The 20,659-nt window shown below is 35.9% G+C and overlaps 1 protein-coding gene across 15 annotated transcripts in view; it reads right to left on the reverse strand.

The window, feature by feature from the left end:
• CEP152 (centrosomal protein 152) overlaps positions 1-20,659 on the reverse strand; it is an 81,987-nt gene that overhangs the window by 40,185 nt on the left and 21,143 nt on the right. For 13 of the 15 annotated variants that reach the window (XR_931769.4, XM_047432254.1, XM_047432253.1 and 10 more), the window contains exons 9-13: positions 19,534-19,734; positions 14,706-14,853; positions 12,872-12,963; positions 11,929-12,092; positions 3,220-3,424 (exon numbers count right to left, since the gene is read on the reverse strand). Coding sequence is in view for 12 of the 15 variants with exons in the window: in XM_047432254.1 (XP_047288210.1) it covers positions 3,220-3,424; positions 11,929-12,092; positions 12,872-12,963; positions 14,706-14,853; positions 19,534-19,734 (810 nt within the window). In the remaining 3 variants the exon portion in view is untranslated. Of the gene's footprint in view, positions 1-17; positions 906-1,952; positions 2,023-3,219; positions 3,425-11,928; positions 12,093-12,871; positions 12,964-14,705; positions 14,854-19,533; positions 19,735-20,659 lie in introns of those variants that run through there. The other 2 variants (XM_017022015.2, XM_011521381.3) reach the window with 2 other exon arrangements.

Below are 20,659 nucleotides of genomic sequence, written 5' to 3' on the forward strand. Positions count from 1 at the left end.
TCAAGTAATCTACAGACCTTATACAAATGTCTCCAATTTGCCCCAAATGTCTGTTTTCTGGTCCAAGATCAAATCCATGATTCTGAGTGGCATTTAGTTGTCATGTTTCATTAGTCTCCTCCAATCTAGGACAGCTCTTCAGTCTTTCAAACCCATGATGTTTTCTAAGAATACTAACCCGTTATTTTGTGGGATGTTCCTCAATTTGGAGTTTTTAGGTTTATTAAAATCAGGTTATGCATCTTTGGCATGCATGTCAAGAACTGATATGTGCTCTTTGCAGGAGACACATGATATCACTATGTCTCACCACTGGTAATAATCAATTGAAGGTGGGATCTGTCATCTCCATTGTAAACTTACTATTTTTTGTTTTATAATAAATGATAAGTATCTTATAGGATACTTTGAGACAATACAAATATCCTATTTCTCATCATATGTTCTCCTACTAAGATCAAGCATTTATTCTATTTCTGTATGTATTCATTTATGTCAGCATTCACTCACGGACATATATTTTATTCAATACATACAATTTTTAAGACTCATGATAGACTTTGGCGAATTGCCTTCCAGAAATGTCATCCAAATGTATACTGTCAGGTAGTACATGGGTCTGCCCATCTCTCTTTGCCTCCAATGGCAGTGATTATCTTTAAATAATTATCTTTGATGGGAAAAGAATATCTAACAATTGCTTTCATTTGTATTTCTTGTGTCACCACCAAAGTGGAACCTCTTATATACCTTCATTGTTCATTTGTTTTTCCACCTTCCCAGATTTATCTGTTCATTTAACTTTGCATATTTTCCTCTGAGAGTTTTCCTTATCTACTTTTCTTTTTATTCATTGATGGGGGTTACAAAGATTTTAAAAATATATCTACTCCGTTTCACTTGTTGTGTACCTGGACTCTGAGCTCTTTGCCACAACACAGTGGCTCATCCTTGTAATCCGAGCACTTTGGGAGGTGGAGGTGGGCAGATCACTTGAGTCCACAGCTGAAGTAACTTTGAGAAAAATTGGAGTTTAGATGTACACTACCGAGAATTCACTATGGCAATAGAGTAGCTGGACAAAAAGAATACTCAAAGATGAGATAGTTATTCCTTTGATCTATTGATCAACCAGACTACAGAGGAAAATGGGAAGGCTAAAAAACAGTACAATGCATGACCACTATCTACTGCTACACATGATAAAGTGTATCTGTATAGCAAATGCCATTAGCAAGTTTAATACAGAACAAAGAAAGCACCAAGATATCTGAGCTAAGGTTCAGACTCAAAATCAGGTTTCTAGTATCCTAAATCCTAGAGCACTCCCACCAAAATGCTTAAACTAATAAACTCTAATGTCTTAATGCAAATTGAGAAACAAGCTTTCATTCCCATCCTTTTAAAGAAATGTAGGGCAACAATGAAAACAGCTTGATTTAAAGATGTTAAATGTGCAGGGGGCAGGGCGGGGAGGAGTCTCTCTCATTTGCTGTTAATATTAAAATCTATGTTTTAGTCATCAAATGTAGTTACTCAGAAGAGGGAATCAGGCTGGAAAAGATTTTGATAGCAAAAACACTGTTTTTCCAAAATATAAAAATTAACCACAATCAAAATTCCACAATAATTAGCACAGAATATTATACATACTTTAGCAGAACTGTTCTAATGAACACAACTCCTAGTTTAAATAGGAGATAAAACAGTACTAAAGAAGGAAGTAAACAATTATCTCCACCCAGGAGGAAAAGGAGTATACTACCCACATTCCTTTTCCCTCTTCTTTTGCTTTTCTTAGTTATTAGGTGTTTTATATATTATTTTCTATTGGGAGTATAGATGGCTGATGATTTGTGAAATATGGAAGGGTAAAAAAAAGGATCTATAAAGGAGAGCAGCCCTAAAGATCTCTGTGATAGCATGATCTTACAGAAATATCTTTGACTTACTTATTAGTCATGTGTTTAGTTTCAATTTGTCTGAAATTGGCTCTGTAAATTCAAAAGTGTCACAAAGTGCTCCAGCTTCATTTTCCGAACTGAAGAATACAGAGGTGGATTTCAATGACTGACAAAACCAGATTTTGTGTACTTTCCCATAGTACCACGACCACTATATAATATCTGTACCATCATCACTATATAATTAATGTCCTCATATAGAATGACTTTTGTTGTAAGAACATGGGCCAGGAAAATCTCATAGAAAATACTACAGGATTTCTATGGAGGATTTATTTTAACTAGATTTTAGAGCACTATTGGTAAAAGCCAATCTTAAAGAAATGCAGATTCCTTGTTACAGAGAATACTTCCTTGTATTTATGGTAAAGGAATTTTACCTAATTGGTATCTCATTTACTAGGTGCCAAGAGTAACCAGAAAAAACATACAGATGCTTTTCAACTTACAATGGGTTTATCACCTAATAAAATCATTATAAGTTGAAAATATCATTAAGTCAAAAATGCATTTAATGCATCTAACCTATTAAAACCATAGCTTAGCCTGGCCTACCTTAAATGTGCTCAGAACACTTATAATAGCCAACAGTTATGCAAAGTCATCTAATGCAAAGCTTCATTTATAATAAACTGTTGAATATCTCATGAAATTTATTGAACACTGTACTGAAAGTAAAAAACAGAACTGTTTTACAGGTACTTGAAATATGGTTTCTACTGAATGCACATAACTTTTCCACCACTGTAAAGTCTAAAAATTGTAAGTCAAACCATCCTAAGTCAGGGACTGTCAGTATCCCTTTAAAAATGGCATTTCCTTCTTTAAACTTTATTTCTAAAAATGTCAAATAAACTCCTGAAAGCCAAAGGTTTATTAATTTAAAAACATGTAAAAGGGCTGGATGTGGTTAGTCACACCTGTAATCCAACACCTTGAGAGATTGAGGTGGGAGGATTGCTTGAGCCCAGGAGTTTGAGACCAGCCTGGGCAACATTGTGGGAACCTGTCTCTACAAAAAATTTAAAAATTAGCCAGGCATAGTGGCGTGCGCCTGTGGTCCCAGCTACTCAGGAGGCTGAGGTGGGAGCATCGCTTTAGCCTGGGAGGTTGAGGCTACAGGGAGCCATGTTTCCACCACTGCCCTCCAGCCTGGAAGACAGAGTGACGCCCTGTCTCAAAAAAAAAAAAGTGTAAAAGTTTTCTTTATTGAGCCTTTTAAAAATGGTTTTTTAACTCTATAGGCTTTACATACCTCAACCTCAATGCTTTTTTCATCCTTCTTCACTTGGTGGAGATCTTCAATTTTCTTATGACAGTCTTTGAGGTCATTTTGTAACTGAGACACCAGATGACGCTTCATTGAGTTGCTACCCAGCAAACGCTGTACTTCTGCCTTTAACTTCAGAATGAACTCATCTTTTGAAAGCTCTTCATTTGGGTCTTCTTCTTGTACAATGCTAATGGAGAAATTGTGATTTTTAACATTAAATCAAGTAATAAATCAGACATGGTTATTCCCTAAAAGCACTGACCACAGTGGTGAACATGTTTTGTCACCTATACAATTATATACTAGTATTTCAAAACAATTTTAAATGTTGTCATACACAAGGATTATCACCTTTGCCATGTCTCTATATACAGAAATACGTTTATTCACAGGAAGAGCCTTCTCAAGCTTAGTCCTGCTGCTCACTGTAAGTAGCTTAGAAATGTGAACTTTGACATAATTTACATTTGTGTTATTGGAAAACTGCATGCTGTATATACATGCCCTTTATGACTCTAACAGAAACAACATAAATATTAAGGAAGAAAAGAATACTAAACACTAGCCATCCTAACCAACAATTTCTGTTATTTTTTTCAACTTACTAAAACACAAGTCTGGGTGAATATCTGAGTAACTAGAAAAACACAAAAATAAAACCATGCTAATTTAAACCCAATTTTAGTTTCAATAAATTTAAAGATTGAGAGATTATCTGCTTCCTTGCCGTAATGAATTAACAAGACTAACCTTTATCTTCCTCCTTAAAAAACTAGCAAACCAAATAAAGCAAATAAAATAATAGTTTTCAATCACTAGACAACAGGCAGCACAGGCCAGGGATTCCTGAGAAAAGGAAAGCAAACAAGGTGAGCTCTAAGATTACCCCAGCTTTCTGCCTGGAGAGTGTCCAGGCCATAGCACAGGGAGGTGAAACCCAAACAGAGCCCAGTAATCTCACTGAGTTTCAGAGAAAGAATTCAGAATTTGGGGAGTCCAGAGTGGCTAGAATATGAAGGGAAGAAATACTGGGGAAAAAGAAGCTGCACAGAAAAAGAGCTCTGGAGATCTGTTCTGTATGAGTGGCTAGGGAAAAAAACATAGGAAATGAATAAGGCTGGGAATATGTTATGTTTCAATGAGCCATAATGCAAAGACTTCCTAATTTAAAGGGCATCAAATAATACCTTAGTAGTGGGGCAAAATTAGCCCCAGATTAAAGCCTTTTCTAAACCTGATGTAGTAAAGCCTATAAAGAAAGCCTTGAAAGGATCAAACTGATTCCAAGTAACTTGTGTGTCACAGAAAAAGTACAACAGTATTTTTAAAAATACAGTAATATCTGGCATCCAAAACAAAATTCAAAATGTCTAGCATTCAATCAAAATTTATCAGGCATAGAAAGAAGTAGGAAAAAAATATGAACCATACCAGGAGAAAAACCAATCAATAGAAACTAACCCATCAATGACACAGACAATAGAATTAATATATTTCATATGTTCTAGAAGGTTAAGGAAGATATGAATATGTGGAGGAAAATGGAAGATACAGAAAAGACTCAAATTAAACTTATAGAAAAAATTATAATATCTGAAATGTAAAATATACTGGATGGGGTTAATAGCATATTTAAAACTGCAGAAGAAAAGATCAGTGAACACATAGATATAGAAATAAAACTATATAATTAAAAACAAAGATAAAAAAGACTAAAACAGAAATACACAGAACATATTACATTTTCCAACATGTGTAACTGAACTCCCAGAAGAGGAGAGGGATGGAAAACATATTTGAAAAAATAATGGCCAAATTTTTCCTAATTTGATGAAAATGAAAACCCCACAAAACCCAGAAGTTTGGTGAATCTCAAGCAGAATAAACACAAAGAAAACCAGCATACATCACACCAATGTCAGATTGCTGAAACCCAGTGATAAAAAGAGAGTGTAGGAAGACTCCCGGAGAGAAAAGAACCAGAGAAAGGAATCCTGAATTCTGTGTATAAATTTGTACAAGCCTCAGTCTAAGCCCTGAACTATGCATGTACAGGGCAACCCTCAAACCAGCATATCAAAGATTTTAAAAACTTAACTGAAATTTAAACCACACATTCAAGTCTCACAATGACTAAACCCGAAGGGATGCATACACAGGTTGGATTCAAAGCAATGTGGCAAAGGCTTGGAGAACCAAACAGATTTAAAACACTCATACAAATTCACAATGTCTAGTATATAATCTAAAATTACTTGACATGCAACTAACCAGAAAAATGTGGCCAAATCTTAAAAGACAATCAACAAATGATCCAAATGCTGGAACTGTCACTAAAAGAGTTTTATAAGTTTAAAGTAGCTATTATATCTCTGCTTTATGAAGTAAAGAAAAAGATACTTGAAGTGAATGAAAAAAAACAGGAATTCTTAACAGAGAAAGAAAAGTGATACAAGAACAAAATAGAAATGTTATTAAGTAAACAAAAGTTAAAATAAAAACACACAAAACCTTCACTAGATAGGCTCAATAGAGTATAGAGGACAAGAAAAAAAGGAGTGAACTTGAAAATAGTCCAGTAGCAATTATGCAAAATAAAAAGGGAAAAACTATAGAAAAAAATGAACAGAGCCTCAAGAAACTGTAGTATAATATCAAAAAATCTAACATACATGTAACTGGAGACCCAAAAGGAGAGAACAAAGACACAGAGACAGAAAAGGTATTTAAGGAAATTAATGGCTGACATTTTCACAAATTTGGTAAAAGACATAATAAATTTATATATTCAAGAAGCTCAGAGAACCCAAAATGAGATAAACTAAAGAAAAACACACTTAAACATATCATAATCAAAGTACCAAAAACTAAATATAAAGAAAAAAATTCTTAAAGCAGCAAAAGAAAAACCTATACATTACTGACAGAAACACTAATTCAAATAACAATGAATTTCTTCACAGAAACCATTGAGTCCAGAGAGAGTGGACCAACATAGCTTTAATGTGCTGAAATAGAAGAACAATTGGTCAGGAATTGTATAATAAACAAATATAAGGATATTTTCATAAAAGGAAACAGACTCTGTCAGCAGCAGACATGCTTGAGAAGAAATGGTAAAGAAAATTCACAGAAGATCATATTATACGATTCTATTTATATGAAATGCACAGAGCTGTCAAATCCATAGAGACAGGAAGTAGATTAGTAGATTAGTTGTCTGGAGCTGTGGAGGCAGGAAGAGGTAATGGGAATGACTGGTAATAGGCATGGAGTTTCTTTGGGGGGATGTTGAAATGCTGTAAAATTAGGTGTGGTGATGACTGCACAGTTCTGTGAATATACGGAAAACCACTGAGCTGTATTCTTTAAGTGGGTGTCTTTTATGGTATGTGAAATAATATCTCAATAAAACAGTAAAAAAAAAAAGAAAAGAAAACCCAAACACCTAACGTATGAGTTTCCTTCATATGAAGGCAAATCTAATAATCTGTAGTGCTTAGGTGTGAATAACTGGGTATTAAAAAGCTAAGGGAAAAAAAAAACAGAAAATGATTGCCCTAATAGATAAGATAGTAGTTAGCCTCAAGGTTACAATAAGAAAGAATATGGGCAGCTCGTGGCAATATTTACTTCTTGACCTGGGTGGTGGTCCTACGAATATTCACTTTCAAATAATTCATTAAGCTATATATTTATGTTCCATGTTTTTTATATGGTATATTTCATAATTTGAAAGATTTAAAAAGCAAAATAAAACTATAGAAAGTACTAGAGAAATACCTTATTTTTAAATATCAAGAAACCATAAATGAAAACAGTGACAGATCTAACTATATAAAAATTATAAACAGGAAAAGTGATAACTCTCAATACTGGCTAGGTTACCAAGAAATAGGGACAGCCTCAGGACGTGGGTAATAATGTAAACTTTAGGGCTGTTTAGTAATATGCATCAAAGCCCTCAAATAAGTGCACACCCTCTAGCAAGACAATTATTCTACTTCTTTAGGAAGTAATCAAAGATGTGAATAAAGACTTGACTACAAGGATGCTTATAACAATGATATTGCATTATTTATAAGTAAAACTTTTAAACAGCGATTTAGTAGCTAAACTGGTTCATTCATCTACATAGTCACTAAAAGTAATCTATAAAAATATTCACTAATATTCAAAGATTTCAGAATATACTAGTAAAATGACATTATAAAGAAATATTATCAATATTATTTTATCTTTTAGAAACATACAAAACAGGTGATGTGGAAGTTTTATACTGAAATATAAAAGTGGTTTTCTTCATGGGAAGTAAGGTGAGATTATTGGTGACTTCTATTTTCTTCTTTTTTAGTCTGTATTTTCTAATTTTTTCATAATGGAGGATTAAGTTACTTTTGAAAAGAAATAAACAGTTGACAGTATCTGCCCTTAAGATGAGGTGATGAAAGTCTCTGTGGTCTTTCTCCACAAAACCCATGAGAAAAACGTAATCATAAGAAAAACGTCATATTCCAATAGACAAGCTTCCTACAAAATACTTGGCCAGTATTCCTTACGACTGTCAAGGTCATCAAAAACAAGTAAAGTCAAGAGAAATCTAAGGAAACATGACCCCTAAATGTAATGGGGTAGCCTGGTTGGGATCCCAGAACAGAAAAAGTATGTTAAATAAAAACCAAGGGCATGTAAATAAACCCTGGATGTTAATTAATAATAATATACCAATATTGGCTCATTAATTGTAACAAATGTACCATACTAACATAAGGTATTAGTAGGGAAAAATGGGTGCAGCATATCGTATATAGGAACTCTGCGTAATACAAATTTTTCTGTAAATTAAAAACTGTTCCAAAAATATATTTTTAAAAAACCTTTATTAGAAACAAAAATACTACCTGAGTTAAAATGTTTACTGTTCTTCAGTTTTAGATGATTCCAAATAAAATCTTAGAATATTGTGTGTGTGTGTGTGTGTGTGTGTGTGTGTCTGTGTGTATGGGTGTGCGAGACAGAGAAAATGAACAAACTATTAGGTAGGCTTTTTAATGTTATAAAAGGAGCTTTTGCAATACAAAATGCAAATTTGTATATGTAATATATATATATATTTTGTAAGTAGTCTGTCTATATACATAGATCTCATTTAAACCACTTCTATTTCCATTGAAGTAGAAAATATAAATTACAAGAAATATAAAATATTTTACAATATAACTTCCTGTGCCATAAGACATGGTGAACTAACCTTAAGCAGAATGATTATTTTGCTCGGTTAACAAATTATGCATCCCCAATTTCTTTTCTTACTGAATGCTGACCACTGAAATAGCACATCCTGTACTCCTAGAGGGAGCCAAGTCAGAGAGAGAAAGTGCTTGCTAAAATAATTTTCTCTTCTTTCCTCAAAGGGGAAAAAAATCAGTGGTAGTGACCAATCCTGAAAAAGGCTCACTACTGAGTCCCATGGAAGTCAGTTCTCCTAAATCCAAATAAACTGTAGTCCCTTATGAAGCCTGCTGAGAAGACCAAAGGGAAAAGGCATTCCACTTGTTAAATGTTTATTATTTGAGCTTAGCAGCCAACTATAATAAGGGAGAGAGGAAGCTGTCTGCAAGCTGCATGCAGATTTAGCTACTCAAATTCCATGAATGTAAAATAGAACATTGAGGCTAAACCCTTAAAATTTACTAGGCAGTAGCTTGAGGGAGGAGGTAGTTGGTAATAAAAGCTTGTAGCCACCAATATTTGAGTCAGTGATTTGAAAGCAGCCCAAGTCAACAAAGAACTAAAATTCCCAACACATGAAAATTATTGCTTCCCCTTATTCTAGGAATCACAGTAGACCAGGGGAAAGAGACAAATATCTTCTCTCCTTTATCTCCTTTGAATTTGATCTGAGTATAATAGCTTTTAGTTTTCCACGAAGCCAAAATATCATCTAATAAACTGCTGGTGGGTGGGATGACTACAAGCAAAACGTTTCTTCGCTTATCTTGTGCTTCACTGGATGTCTTTTTGCCGAGCCTCAGTGACTAATCACACTGTGCTTTATTCTTCACTTTCCCACTGAATGCGTCCATCATTCCTTTTACTATAATAATGATGCGGTGTCTCAGGTTTATTATCTATAGGAATGTGCTTTAAGATGAGTACAGGAGGCCGGGCGCGGTGGCTGAAGCCTGTAATCCCAGCACTTTGGGAGGCCGAGGTGGGAGGATCACCTGAAGTCGGGAGTTCAAGACCAGCCTGACCAACATGGAGAAACCCCGTCTCTACTAAAAATACAAAATTAGCTGGGCATGGTGGCACATGCCTGTATTCCCGGCTACTCAGGAGGCTGAGGCAGGAGAATTGCTTAAACCTGGGAGGTGGAGGTTGCAGTGAGCCGAGATCATGCCATTGCACTCCGGTCTGGGCAACAAAAGCAAAACTCCATCTCAAAAAAAAAAAAAAAGATGAATACAGGATTTTGGCTATGAGCACTAAGTAAATAGAAAGTGTAAAGGTAGCAGAATATGTTTTAATAGACATCATGAAGAAGTAACTATTTGAAAAGATAAACATACATAATGTATTATTTATCCAATTCCCAGACCAACTAGAGCAGAAACTAAAAGTAATCACAAATTGGAGAAAAATCTTTTTTGTCATGAACTACATCTTTAATCCTCAAAAATAAAAGACATGAAGAAAGGAGTTTAAGGCAAAAAGGTTTAACTGACATGTAAATATGAACAGACAGACAACCGAGCCTTTCTCAGGAGTCTGGGTTCAAGTACTGGTTCTGCTACTAATTGTCTGCCTTACTAAGCAAAGGAGTTCACTCTGGTTTTTCCAACTCTCACATGTTGATATTGGATTTGATATTTTTCACAAGGTTGAGAATCAAGAACATTTACAAAGTATGTGTTGAATTAATACAAAATTCATGTGACTTAATATAAAATCTGATCAGTGATATGTTTTAATCAACCATCTACTGTATAACAATAGTAACAGCCATCATTTATCAAATGATGCCTAATATATGTTAGAACGTGTTACATAAGGCCTTTTATATTCATTATTTTATTCCTCAGTTTAACCTCCAAGGGATTTTAAGCTTGATAAGAAAACAGGCTCAGAAAAGCTAAGAAATTTGCCCAAGCTCACAAAGCTGGTAATAAAATGGCAAAACTATTATTCAAAACAATCTGGATCTAAAGCCCACGCTCTTCCCAGTAGCCCCTTAGAATTAATCTGGCATTAGCAGGAAATGAGGCATTCACAGCAGTGAATTTTCCAGGTGACTATATTAACATTTTATGTAAATCTGTCTAAAAAAGATATAATGCACTTCGTTTTTTGCTTTAATTTACTAACCAAACTGGAAGCCTTTCTTTGACAACTTGGGATCATAACTGTGGACATTTTGATGTGGATCAAACACACGTAAATGTGTAGAGCTATTTGCTGTGATACTCAGCAACTCTAGCCTGTTGGGTTTCCATAGTTTTCTCCTTGCTAAGGCTGAGCTGCTGGCCGAAGGATGGATACTGTCTTTCCCAACCCTTGCCCTAGCCCTCTGCAGTTGGTTAGGAAATGAGACAATTCATGGAGTACAAATAAATCTAAGTCAATATGGTCCTGGGATAAGAACTTGAAGGTGGCTCCTACTAAATACATCATATAATCCAGTTCTGATATTTTCTTCTTTGCTTCCTTCTGGATAGCAGTGCTGTGATTTGTAGGGATGAGAGTCCCTGAAGACAGACCTCTAGATAAATGGAGCCTTACTAAACTAGAATAATACCATCTACTTTCACAGTATCACCTGATCACTTTATATTTCTACTTACTGAATCTCATCTTACTGTTCTTAAAATGAGATCACAGTCTCAAAATATGTAACTTCTAAAACCTATCGTAGAGCAAACTTTTCAGGACATTTATATATTTGTATTTAGTTGTGTAATACCTGAAATACAACATGTATTAAACACTCTCTGGAAACTACAATTCAACAATGATGACGAACTCCATCTTAAACTATAAACAAAAGGGTGGTGGTAAGGGCCAAACGCATCCAAAAATCTTTTCTTAACCTAAATACAATCTTTTCCAAACACCGTATCTCTCTCTTCCCTATCCAAAACCAGTACAGGAAATGTGTAAATCCCACCTCTATACATCAAACATAACATTGAATGCATAGCACTTAGTTGTTTCCAACAATGTTTCTTTCTCCCTGACCAGAAAACACGTAAGCTCCCTGTGGGAAGGACAGTTCCTATCTCATCTTTTGTACTCTATTCCCAGAGCCTTGTATAGCACCTTCCACGCAGCAAGTGCTTCTGAAGTCCTTTAAGTGTTTAATTCTCCTTCTACAACCACCACTACTCCCTCCCTAGTCAGTCTCTAGCAGGAGTGATAAAATACTTCCTACTATGAGATTGCTAAAATATCTGTATTAAGCAGTAATATAAAAGACAGAATCTCTACTTTAAAAGTAAGGTCATAGTAAGGTTTCTAGGAAAAATTAATGTATATTTTTTATACTATCACTGATAAATGCAAGGTATCTGCATTCAATACACAGTGTTAACATATGAAAATAATACGCTCTCACCTTAAAACAGATACCATGCATCATCAGCATTACTAATGTTGGTTCTTCTACAGTAAACTAAAATATTCTTTCCATACCTGGTAACTTTGGATTTTTTCCAGTTGACCTTTTTAATACCCAAATCCACATACGATTCAGTGAGTTCTATATTTAATTCTCCTTCTGAGTCACTTGGATGTATTCCTAGTTTTGCAGCAGATTCATAGAGAGAAATTTCATCTTTTAGTTCTGTTAATTCTTCCTACAACACAAAATTATTAAAAATAATTTTCACTATTTTCCTATATGAAGTAATCAGTCATTCTGTTTCAAAATTTGTTTTAATGATCAACAGGAGGCAAAAAAACTTCTTCAAATATATTATTAGTACACATTATACTTTATAAAGGTCGGCATATATCAGGTTTTCAAGTAAAGCCTAAATGAATAAATGAATGAGAAAACAAACATAAGGATTTCCTCTCACATCTCTGTCTCTTAGATTTTGTCCTCCATGGAAAGTGGTGTGTTCCTTGGGCTTAAATGCTGATGGCGGCGCTTTCTGGCTTACTAGAGTACAGGACAAAGTACGCTGGTTTGCCAAGAACAGGTTGTACTTTAGCCTGCCGGTGGTGAAAAGGTGGAGGTAATAATGGAACTCTTCTCCCATATTTTCCTCCCCCTCCAGTGGAAAATGTAAATAGCACTGGAGGAGGATATGACAGAATTGCAGCAAAATTCAACATTCCCCACCCCCATAGATGAACTGATCTCTGGGATACACCCAAAGATGAAAGGACATGCCACTTGAAGGAGGTGGCAGGCAAGCTGGCAGGAAGTGCAGGGCCTTGGCTCTGCAATTAGACAGACCTGAGTTTGACTTGCCAACTGTGTGAAGGAGATGGTGAACAACTCCCATGGGCTGGTTTGAAGGTGGTCCAACCACCTCTATTATACAGAGAAACCCAAGATTCAAAAAGGTGATGTAACTACTGCCTAATTCAGATACCCATAGAGCCTCTTCCAAGTGGCAACACTCACTTGCAAAGCCTTGTTCATGTTTGCACTCATAGCATGTGCCTTCTGTGCTTGCTGCAGCTGGAACTGTAGCTGAGCCACCTCTTGTACTGACCCTGCAGAGGAAAGAACCATAGGATATACTGAAAAAATTAAGGGGACAAAGTGCTTATGATCTACAGAAGACTTGAATCCACTGAGGCTACAGAAAGTAAAGTTCTGCTTTACTACTACTGTCTCTTTAGAATACATAGAGCCCATGGGACCCAGAAGGCATAGGTCTGGGCCAGACATTTCCCAGATTTAGTATGGCATCCCATATGACCTTGGGCAGTTAAAGGCATGGGCTACTATGACCTTTTTATGAATCAAATCAGTCACATTTACAGACCTTAACATTCCGGAAGTCCTTTAATAGGAGCGTAACACTCCAACTCATGGTAAGTCAAAGAAAAAATTCTTTGGAACCCATTTCTACCCTGCAATAAGAAAACTATACCGTGCTGCCTTTAACTTCTTTGTAGATGCTTTTCTATCCAGCATCCCCACCTCCACATGTAAATGAAGTGTATTAGGGTTATAATTCTGAAACTTTAGAAACCTAATATTTTAAATGTACTGGGCAAGGTGGTGGGGGGACTGTTCCCAATTTAAAAGGGACATTATTAGGTTTCAAAAGAAAATGACCATCTGGGAAATGATTAAGTGAAGCAATGATGGCATAAAGAAAATAATATTTTCAAAGCATTTAACAGCCAGGAAAAAGGCTCACCAAGTAATGCCAAATGAAAACAAAGGCTATAAAACTAAACAGGGAGGGGCCCTTAATAAAGCATAATCCAAATTTTGCCCCCTATCAAGACATATATACACATACATTTAGGCAGTCTTTGACTTTAGTATTTTCAGCTTTTGAATAGCCCACCCTTTCACATATTGTACCAACAGTCTAAATTACCTTTCATATGCCAAAGTGTGACTTTCATATATCAGTTAATGAATAACTGTTGACCTGTTTTCACAATGTGAGCTACTTACCAGCAAACAGGGAAGTTTTGTCTATATAGCGGTGTTTGTACAAACGTGATCATTTTATTGTTCTTTGCTCTAATATCATTTTATAAAAATTAATAAGAAATAAAACAACTGCTGAAACTAAAATGATAGGAAGCATATGTCTCAAACTTAATACTATAAAGACCATATTAGAAATCTGAAGCATGACAAAAATGTAACTCTCTGGCCTCAACTGACTAGGTAAGTCACTATTCCATTATGAGGGGAAAAATATGAAAGAAGTTATACAAAGGATAGAACTATATGATCAAATATTGGGCCTAAAAAAGCAAAATATAATGGGATTTTATAATCACTTTTAGTTTTCAGGGATAGAAATTACCCTATAATGTATTTTATTGTTCAATTTTTGCATGTTCAGCTTTAGTATGTTTTCAGAAATGCATTACATAAAGAAGCAGGACATTGTCTATGTGTGTACATTCATTTCATTTGAAGGAAATACATTCAAATGCTAACAATAATTATCTCAGTAGTAGAATTACGGTTATTTTTATTTGGTACTTTATACTGGTCTCCAGCTTCCAAATTATTTAATAAAAACAAACTAAACCTTTATATATTTTTTTATATATGTGTGTATGTATATATATATATATGTATATATATATATATGCCTTCTGTATATATATAAAAATATATATTTCTTTTTTTTAAAGAAATTTATTGCTGATTGTGTTTTCTGTCCCTTCTGGATTTTTACAAGTCATGGATCCTACTACATTCTTTCTGCATATTGAACCAACCTTCTGGGGAGACAGTGGACCTACCAGACACCTACCGGACTGCAACAAGTGGGCACACTGCTTTTGACTCTCCTCTAGACTTCTTGTCAACTTATTAATGATCTCAGTCTTTTCTAACTTGATTGCTTCTTGATTCCTTTCCAGTTGTTTCACGTGATCTTTCAGACGAGAGCAAATGTCTTCCTAAATAGAAAAAAAGTTCAGGAAGTCATTTTCATAAAGAGTTTTAATAAAGAGTAAACTAAAAATTATGATACATAATTAGATTTGATGTCAAACACAAGATCATCACATGGGAGCATCACCTCTTTTACAAGGTAAAGTGCACAGAACTGGGAGTCAAGAGCTTGGGTGAAGCTTCAACTCTTCAGTCTGTTTCTTCTTTTGTAATTATGCTAATAAAGGTTGAATTAGGTGCCTTCTAAAGTCTCCTTCAACTCTATATTCACAAGACAATGAGTTATTCAAAAATTAGATTTTATTCAAGCCAAAGAAAATGTATTACATTCCTATGCGTATTTTATATTGTCAGTATAAGTGTATGTATATATATTTAGGCAGACTACTTTGAATCATGCTATTTGTATCCCAAAACAGTAAGGATATAGATAAACACATGAAAACTCACTGTATTCTAAGCAGCCAAAAGTTCATTCCATTAAGAGCAGCCAAAAAATAATCTTTCCCTCCTCTGAAATTCTTTTAAACTTGATCTGTTTCTTTCTTATCTTTCTCCACCTTTTAGATGTCTTATTTCTCTTAATAGCCCCCTTGAAGGTGCTTCTGCAGTGCCTTAGACATATCAAGTGCTGTAAGAAACACTTGAAAAATAAATGACAAAGAAAAATAGGGTAAATGTGTATGTGCATGTGTGTAACTATATGGGATTACATAAAATATAGAGTGTGTATGCAATATACTCAAGTTTCTTCCAAAAGAAAATATGTTTGGGTGTAATAAACCACGGGAGTCCTGAGTCCAGGTAGAACAAACACACTGTCGAAATCATCACCTTTCTTTCAAAAAAGGCTACACAGGCTGAATTCCAGGCAAATGGCAGAGCATGGGAGAGGCAGAGGAATGAGTTAAGTTGATTAACTGAAATTACCCAAGAAAACCTAAAGAAAATAAGAAATAAGAAGAATACTGAGAAAGGGCTTTGAAGTAGAGAAAAGGCCTTAGGCTTTTGCTGCCTGATCTGTAGTATAACCTAAAGCCCAATAATACCTTAAGGATACTAACACAAGGTACATCCCATAAGAGCACCAATACATAACTACCTTGAAGCAAAGAGACTCTGAAGTCTCCCATTTTAGCTTAAAAATCCATGTGAATTTTGTATTCTATTTCATAATGAAGCTGTGTTTGCTTTAAATTTTTTCTACTAAATTTTTGAGCAAAATGAAGCTTCTGGAAACTAGTCCATGTTTATTCAGCACTGCAAACCTCCTGGCACACTGCTGCGAATTCCAGGCCAGCTTGAGAAACCTGGTTCTAAAGCGCCAAAGTAACGTGGCAAAAACAATGAATGAGCTCATATTAATGACAGCATGACAGTAATGACAGCAAGAAGGGGTGGGGAGACAGCTAATATTTATATTCTGGGGAGGTCACAATAGTGTTAACAAGGGACTGGGAACTAGCAAACAAAGTTAAAGAAAAGGTAGGTATAAAAAAATTGTAAAGAAAAGGCAGACTCTGCCAATAATTTGATTTTATGTAAAAATCAATTAAACTATGGTGTATCCTATTGACAAGTTCAGGAAAACAGATCATACTCATAAAACTTTAAAGTTTAAAGTTTTAATACCAAAAATCAAAAAAGATTGAGTAGCTCAATGTTTGCCATGATTAGCTTGAGTAGTTCAAGTCTGATATGGGCAGACATTTTTCAAGACTGAGACAAGTGTAATGATAAAGAGATGACGGCTGAACTCCAGCCTGGGCAACAGGGCGAGACTCCATCTCAAAAAAAAAAAAAAAGAGAGAGAGAGAGAGAGAGATGATAGAGATGACAGCTGAATCTGTGGGAGGGAAAAAGAACTGGACAGGGTTCTAGCACACAGGAAAATGAGGACTGGACCACACACAGAGAAGTCTGTGGGAGTCTCTAAGCCAACAGAAAGTGTTCAAAGTGGAGCCTTTAAATATAACATTAAAGAAAAGGTAAAAGGTTATGACATAGAAACCAAAGTCCATGACTTCACCAAAAGCTGAAGTTTTCAAGGAGACAGAAGGAAAAAAGTAATATACCAACAAGGAGATAATCAGAGATCTTAACATGACACTTCCATGAATGGGAGGAGGTAAAAGTCAGTTTGGTGGAGAGAGTCCAGGCGATAGTTTACTAGGAGAGAATTATGACATTGGAGGAACACTATGAGCTCCAAGAAGCCCATTTCTTTCACCTTTTCTGTCTCACTAAACAAATTCAAGGGAAAATCAGCCAAAAAAAAAGAACTATTATAATATGTTGTGAGTGCATACAATCTTTTCTACCCAGAAAAGCTGCTGTCTTAAGAAAAACACTAATAATTTTACAATCCATAAATTTCTCAAAATATACTAATTACAGACATTTTGTTTTTAATTTTAGATTCAGGGGATATGTGTATAGGTGTGTTACATGGATATGTGGCATGATGCCGAGGTCTGGGCTTCTGTTAGGCGCTTTGGAATCACCACTTTGCAAAGCAGCTATGCAATTATATGCAGAGCCTAACATCAGTGCCATGCTCTGTTAAAAAAAATAATAATAAAACAAAGTAAAAATAGGCAAAGAACGTAACAGTGGGAAAAGACCTTAACACCTTCAATTTATGGATTCCGGGGTCTGAAACCCACCCAGCACAGAATCAAGAATTTGTTCTGACTTTACTGTAGAGTTCTTCTATTGAAGGGGGTGGGGCAGTGGACAACAGAGTAATGCAGTGGGCACAGGGGTAGAAAACACTAGAAATTCCTTCCAATCCATCCCTAATGAAACTGTGTTTAAGTCAACAGAGAATGGAGACCCCCAACCCAATAAGGAAAAGCCACCAGGATCCACTCTTCTCCAGTCATCCAAGAAGGGCTACTGTCCAAGTCCAACTAACTTCAATGTTACCCTATGTTTGGCCAAAACTAACTTTAAAATAAAATAAAATAAAAATTTATGAAGCTACATCTCAAATTCTGTTTAAATATTCTATAAAGTAGACTTTTCAATAATTTGGTATAGCCTTCGTTTTTTTTTTTTTTTTTTTCTGGAAAAAGAGTCTCACTCTGTTACCCAGGCTGGAATGCAGTGGTGCAATCATGGCTCACTGCAGCCTCGACCTCCTGAGCTCAAGCAATCCTCCCACCTCAGCCTCCCAAGTAGCTGGGACTACAGGCGCATGCCACCATGCCCAGCTAATTTGTTATTTTTTCTTCGTAAAGACAAGGATTCACTATTTTGCCCAGGCTAGTCTTGAACTCATGGGCTCAAGTGATCCACCTGCCTCAACCTCCCGAAGTGCTGGGATTACAGGCATGAGCCACCGTAACTGGCCTTCATCTTTCCCTACTCCTATATATCCTCCACATTGATCAAATTCACAATTTTTTTATATAAAATAAATACATAATGAAATAGATATAATAAAAACACACATAAATACATGTAAAAATAAAATAAAATGATAAATAATTATTGCCAGTAATGCACTCTTATATAGTTCTACCTAAAAGCATGGAAAAATTAGAGGCAGCTATATAGGTCAGAAATAACCCAAATCAGCATGAATTTTAAGTGTGGTGAAATTTTCCATACCCTCACATCTGATTTTTCTTCTCTCCTTCCCTTAAGTTAAATCAATTTTGAAATTACATTAAGAAAAATAAATTCTGAAATGTTATTCACTCAAGTGATTACCTAGAGTTATGGAGCACAAGCAAACTCACCACCTGACTCACATTTAGCTTTCAATATTTTATTCCCCCTTGAGTGAAAATAATAAAAATTCACTGTGCAATATGCTCAAGATGCAAATCTCATTAAGTCTAGATCAGACTGTCTTATTTTATAAATTATACTGTCCTCAAAATTTACTCTCTTCCCAAGAATCATTTCTCAACAGACTGTATTGCTGTATTGACAGGTGAATTACCAAATGCTGGGAGACTCAAGTAAGGTTTTCTACTGGTTAAGCTTCCAAGGTAACCTCTCAAGTTCTAGCCAGCCGCTGGCAGACTCATTTGTTTTGGTCTGGATTTATTCTAGGACCATATAAACAACATACACAAATACCCTACAAATAAAGGACAAGTAATGTGAAAGTTGAGAAAGTACTAATAATCGTATAAGAAGTAGGGTTTCCAAAAGTATACCTTTAGGATGTATTCTCAGATTAAAATATCACTGGCTTCTTTTTTTTTTTTTTTTTTTTTTGGGGAGACGGAGTCTCGCTCTGTCGCCCAGGGTGGAGTGCAGTGGTGCGATCTCAGCTCACGGCAACCTCTGCCTCCCGGGTTCAAGCAATTCTCCTGCCTCAGCCTCCCGAGTAGCTGGGATTACAGGCACGCACCACTGCGCCCGGCTAATTTTTTTTTTTTTTTTGTATTTATAGTAGAGACGGGGTTTCACCAAGTTGGCCAGGCTGATCTTGAACTCCTGACCTCAGGTGATCCGCCTGCCTTGGCCTCCCAAAGTACTGGGATTACAGGCGTGAGCCATTGCGTCCAGCCAATATCACTGGCTTTTAAGTTTCACTCACCTCACACACAATCTAACATTTACTACAAACATCCAAGACTTCTATATGATGAACCATAAAATATCAGTTACAAAACATAACCAGCTTTACTTGTTGATAACAGTTGCTCATTTGAAATCATCCCAACCTGTTCTTTAAGTGCGGTGACTGTGGCATCCAAATTCTTTTGTAAGGACAATACTTGCTCTTCGTACTTCTTTGTGAGGCCCATAACAATGCTCTCATGCTGTTCTCTAGCTCGTTGAAGTGATTCAGAATGATGAAGGTCCACCAGCTGCTGCTTCAAGCTTTCCAGAGCCATTTCAGTTGTTCTGGACTTCTTGATCATCTAGTAAATACACACAGGATATCCATGTTTAAAATATACACAGAGTATTTTAGCTCTGTGCTGTCTATAAACTTTTACTTTTACTATAAAATAAAACTCAAGCATGTTTTAATGAGAGTAGAGAAGGGGTCTCCGCTCATCATGGCTCAAGCTCCTTAAAACAACCCTAGCTGGGACCCTCCAGGCCCATAGTTGTTGGAAACAATGTTCCCTGAGAAAATACATTTGGTAGATACCTGAGGGGAGTGAAAGAGGATTTTGCGCAGCATGATGGATGTGGCTATCAGGCACGGAATCTGCTGATGCCGTGATGGCCCCAGTGCTGTTTGCATTGCTCTATGACCAAAGTGTGGGGTAACCCAATTGTTAGGTCACAGAAAAATGACAACTGTTCCTTGAAAGACTGATGAAACCTGCCAATGGTCACTTACTAAAAACAAAGTTTTCAAAGCTGTAACTGCACAGTTGGTATTGTAGGCAAAATCATAGCCCTCCAAAATGACCGTGTCCTAATCCCCAAAACCTGTGAATCAGTTATATTACATGGCAAGGGAAAATTAAGATTGTATGTGGAATTAATATGGCTAATTAGATTGCCTTAAAATAAGGTGAGTAGCCTGGATTATCCAGGTGGGCCCAATGTAACCACAGGGTCCATAAATGAGAAAAACTAAGGCAGAAAAGTCAGAACCAGAGAGACTCAATCAGCCATTCATTGCTGGCTTTGAAGATGGAAATGGGCCACAAGCTAAGGAACACAGGTGGCCTCTAGAAGTTGGAAATAGCAAGAAAATGGATTCTCCCCTAAAGCCTCCGGAAAGCAATGCAGCCTTGTTGACACCCTGATTTTAGCCTAGTGAGATCCATGTCAGACTTCTGACCTCCAGAACTGTGAGATAAATTTGTATTGTTTTAAACCACTGAA

The sequence above is a fragment of the Homo sapiens genome, chromosome 15 (assembly GCF_000001405.40).
Source record: "Homo sapiens chromosome 15, GRCh38.p14 Primary Assembly".
NCBI classification, from domain to species: domain Eukaryota; kingdom Metazoa; phylum Chordata; class Mammalia; order Primates; family Hominidae; genus Homo; species Homo sapiens.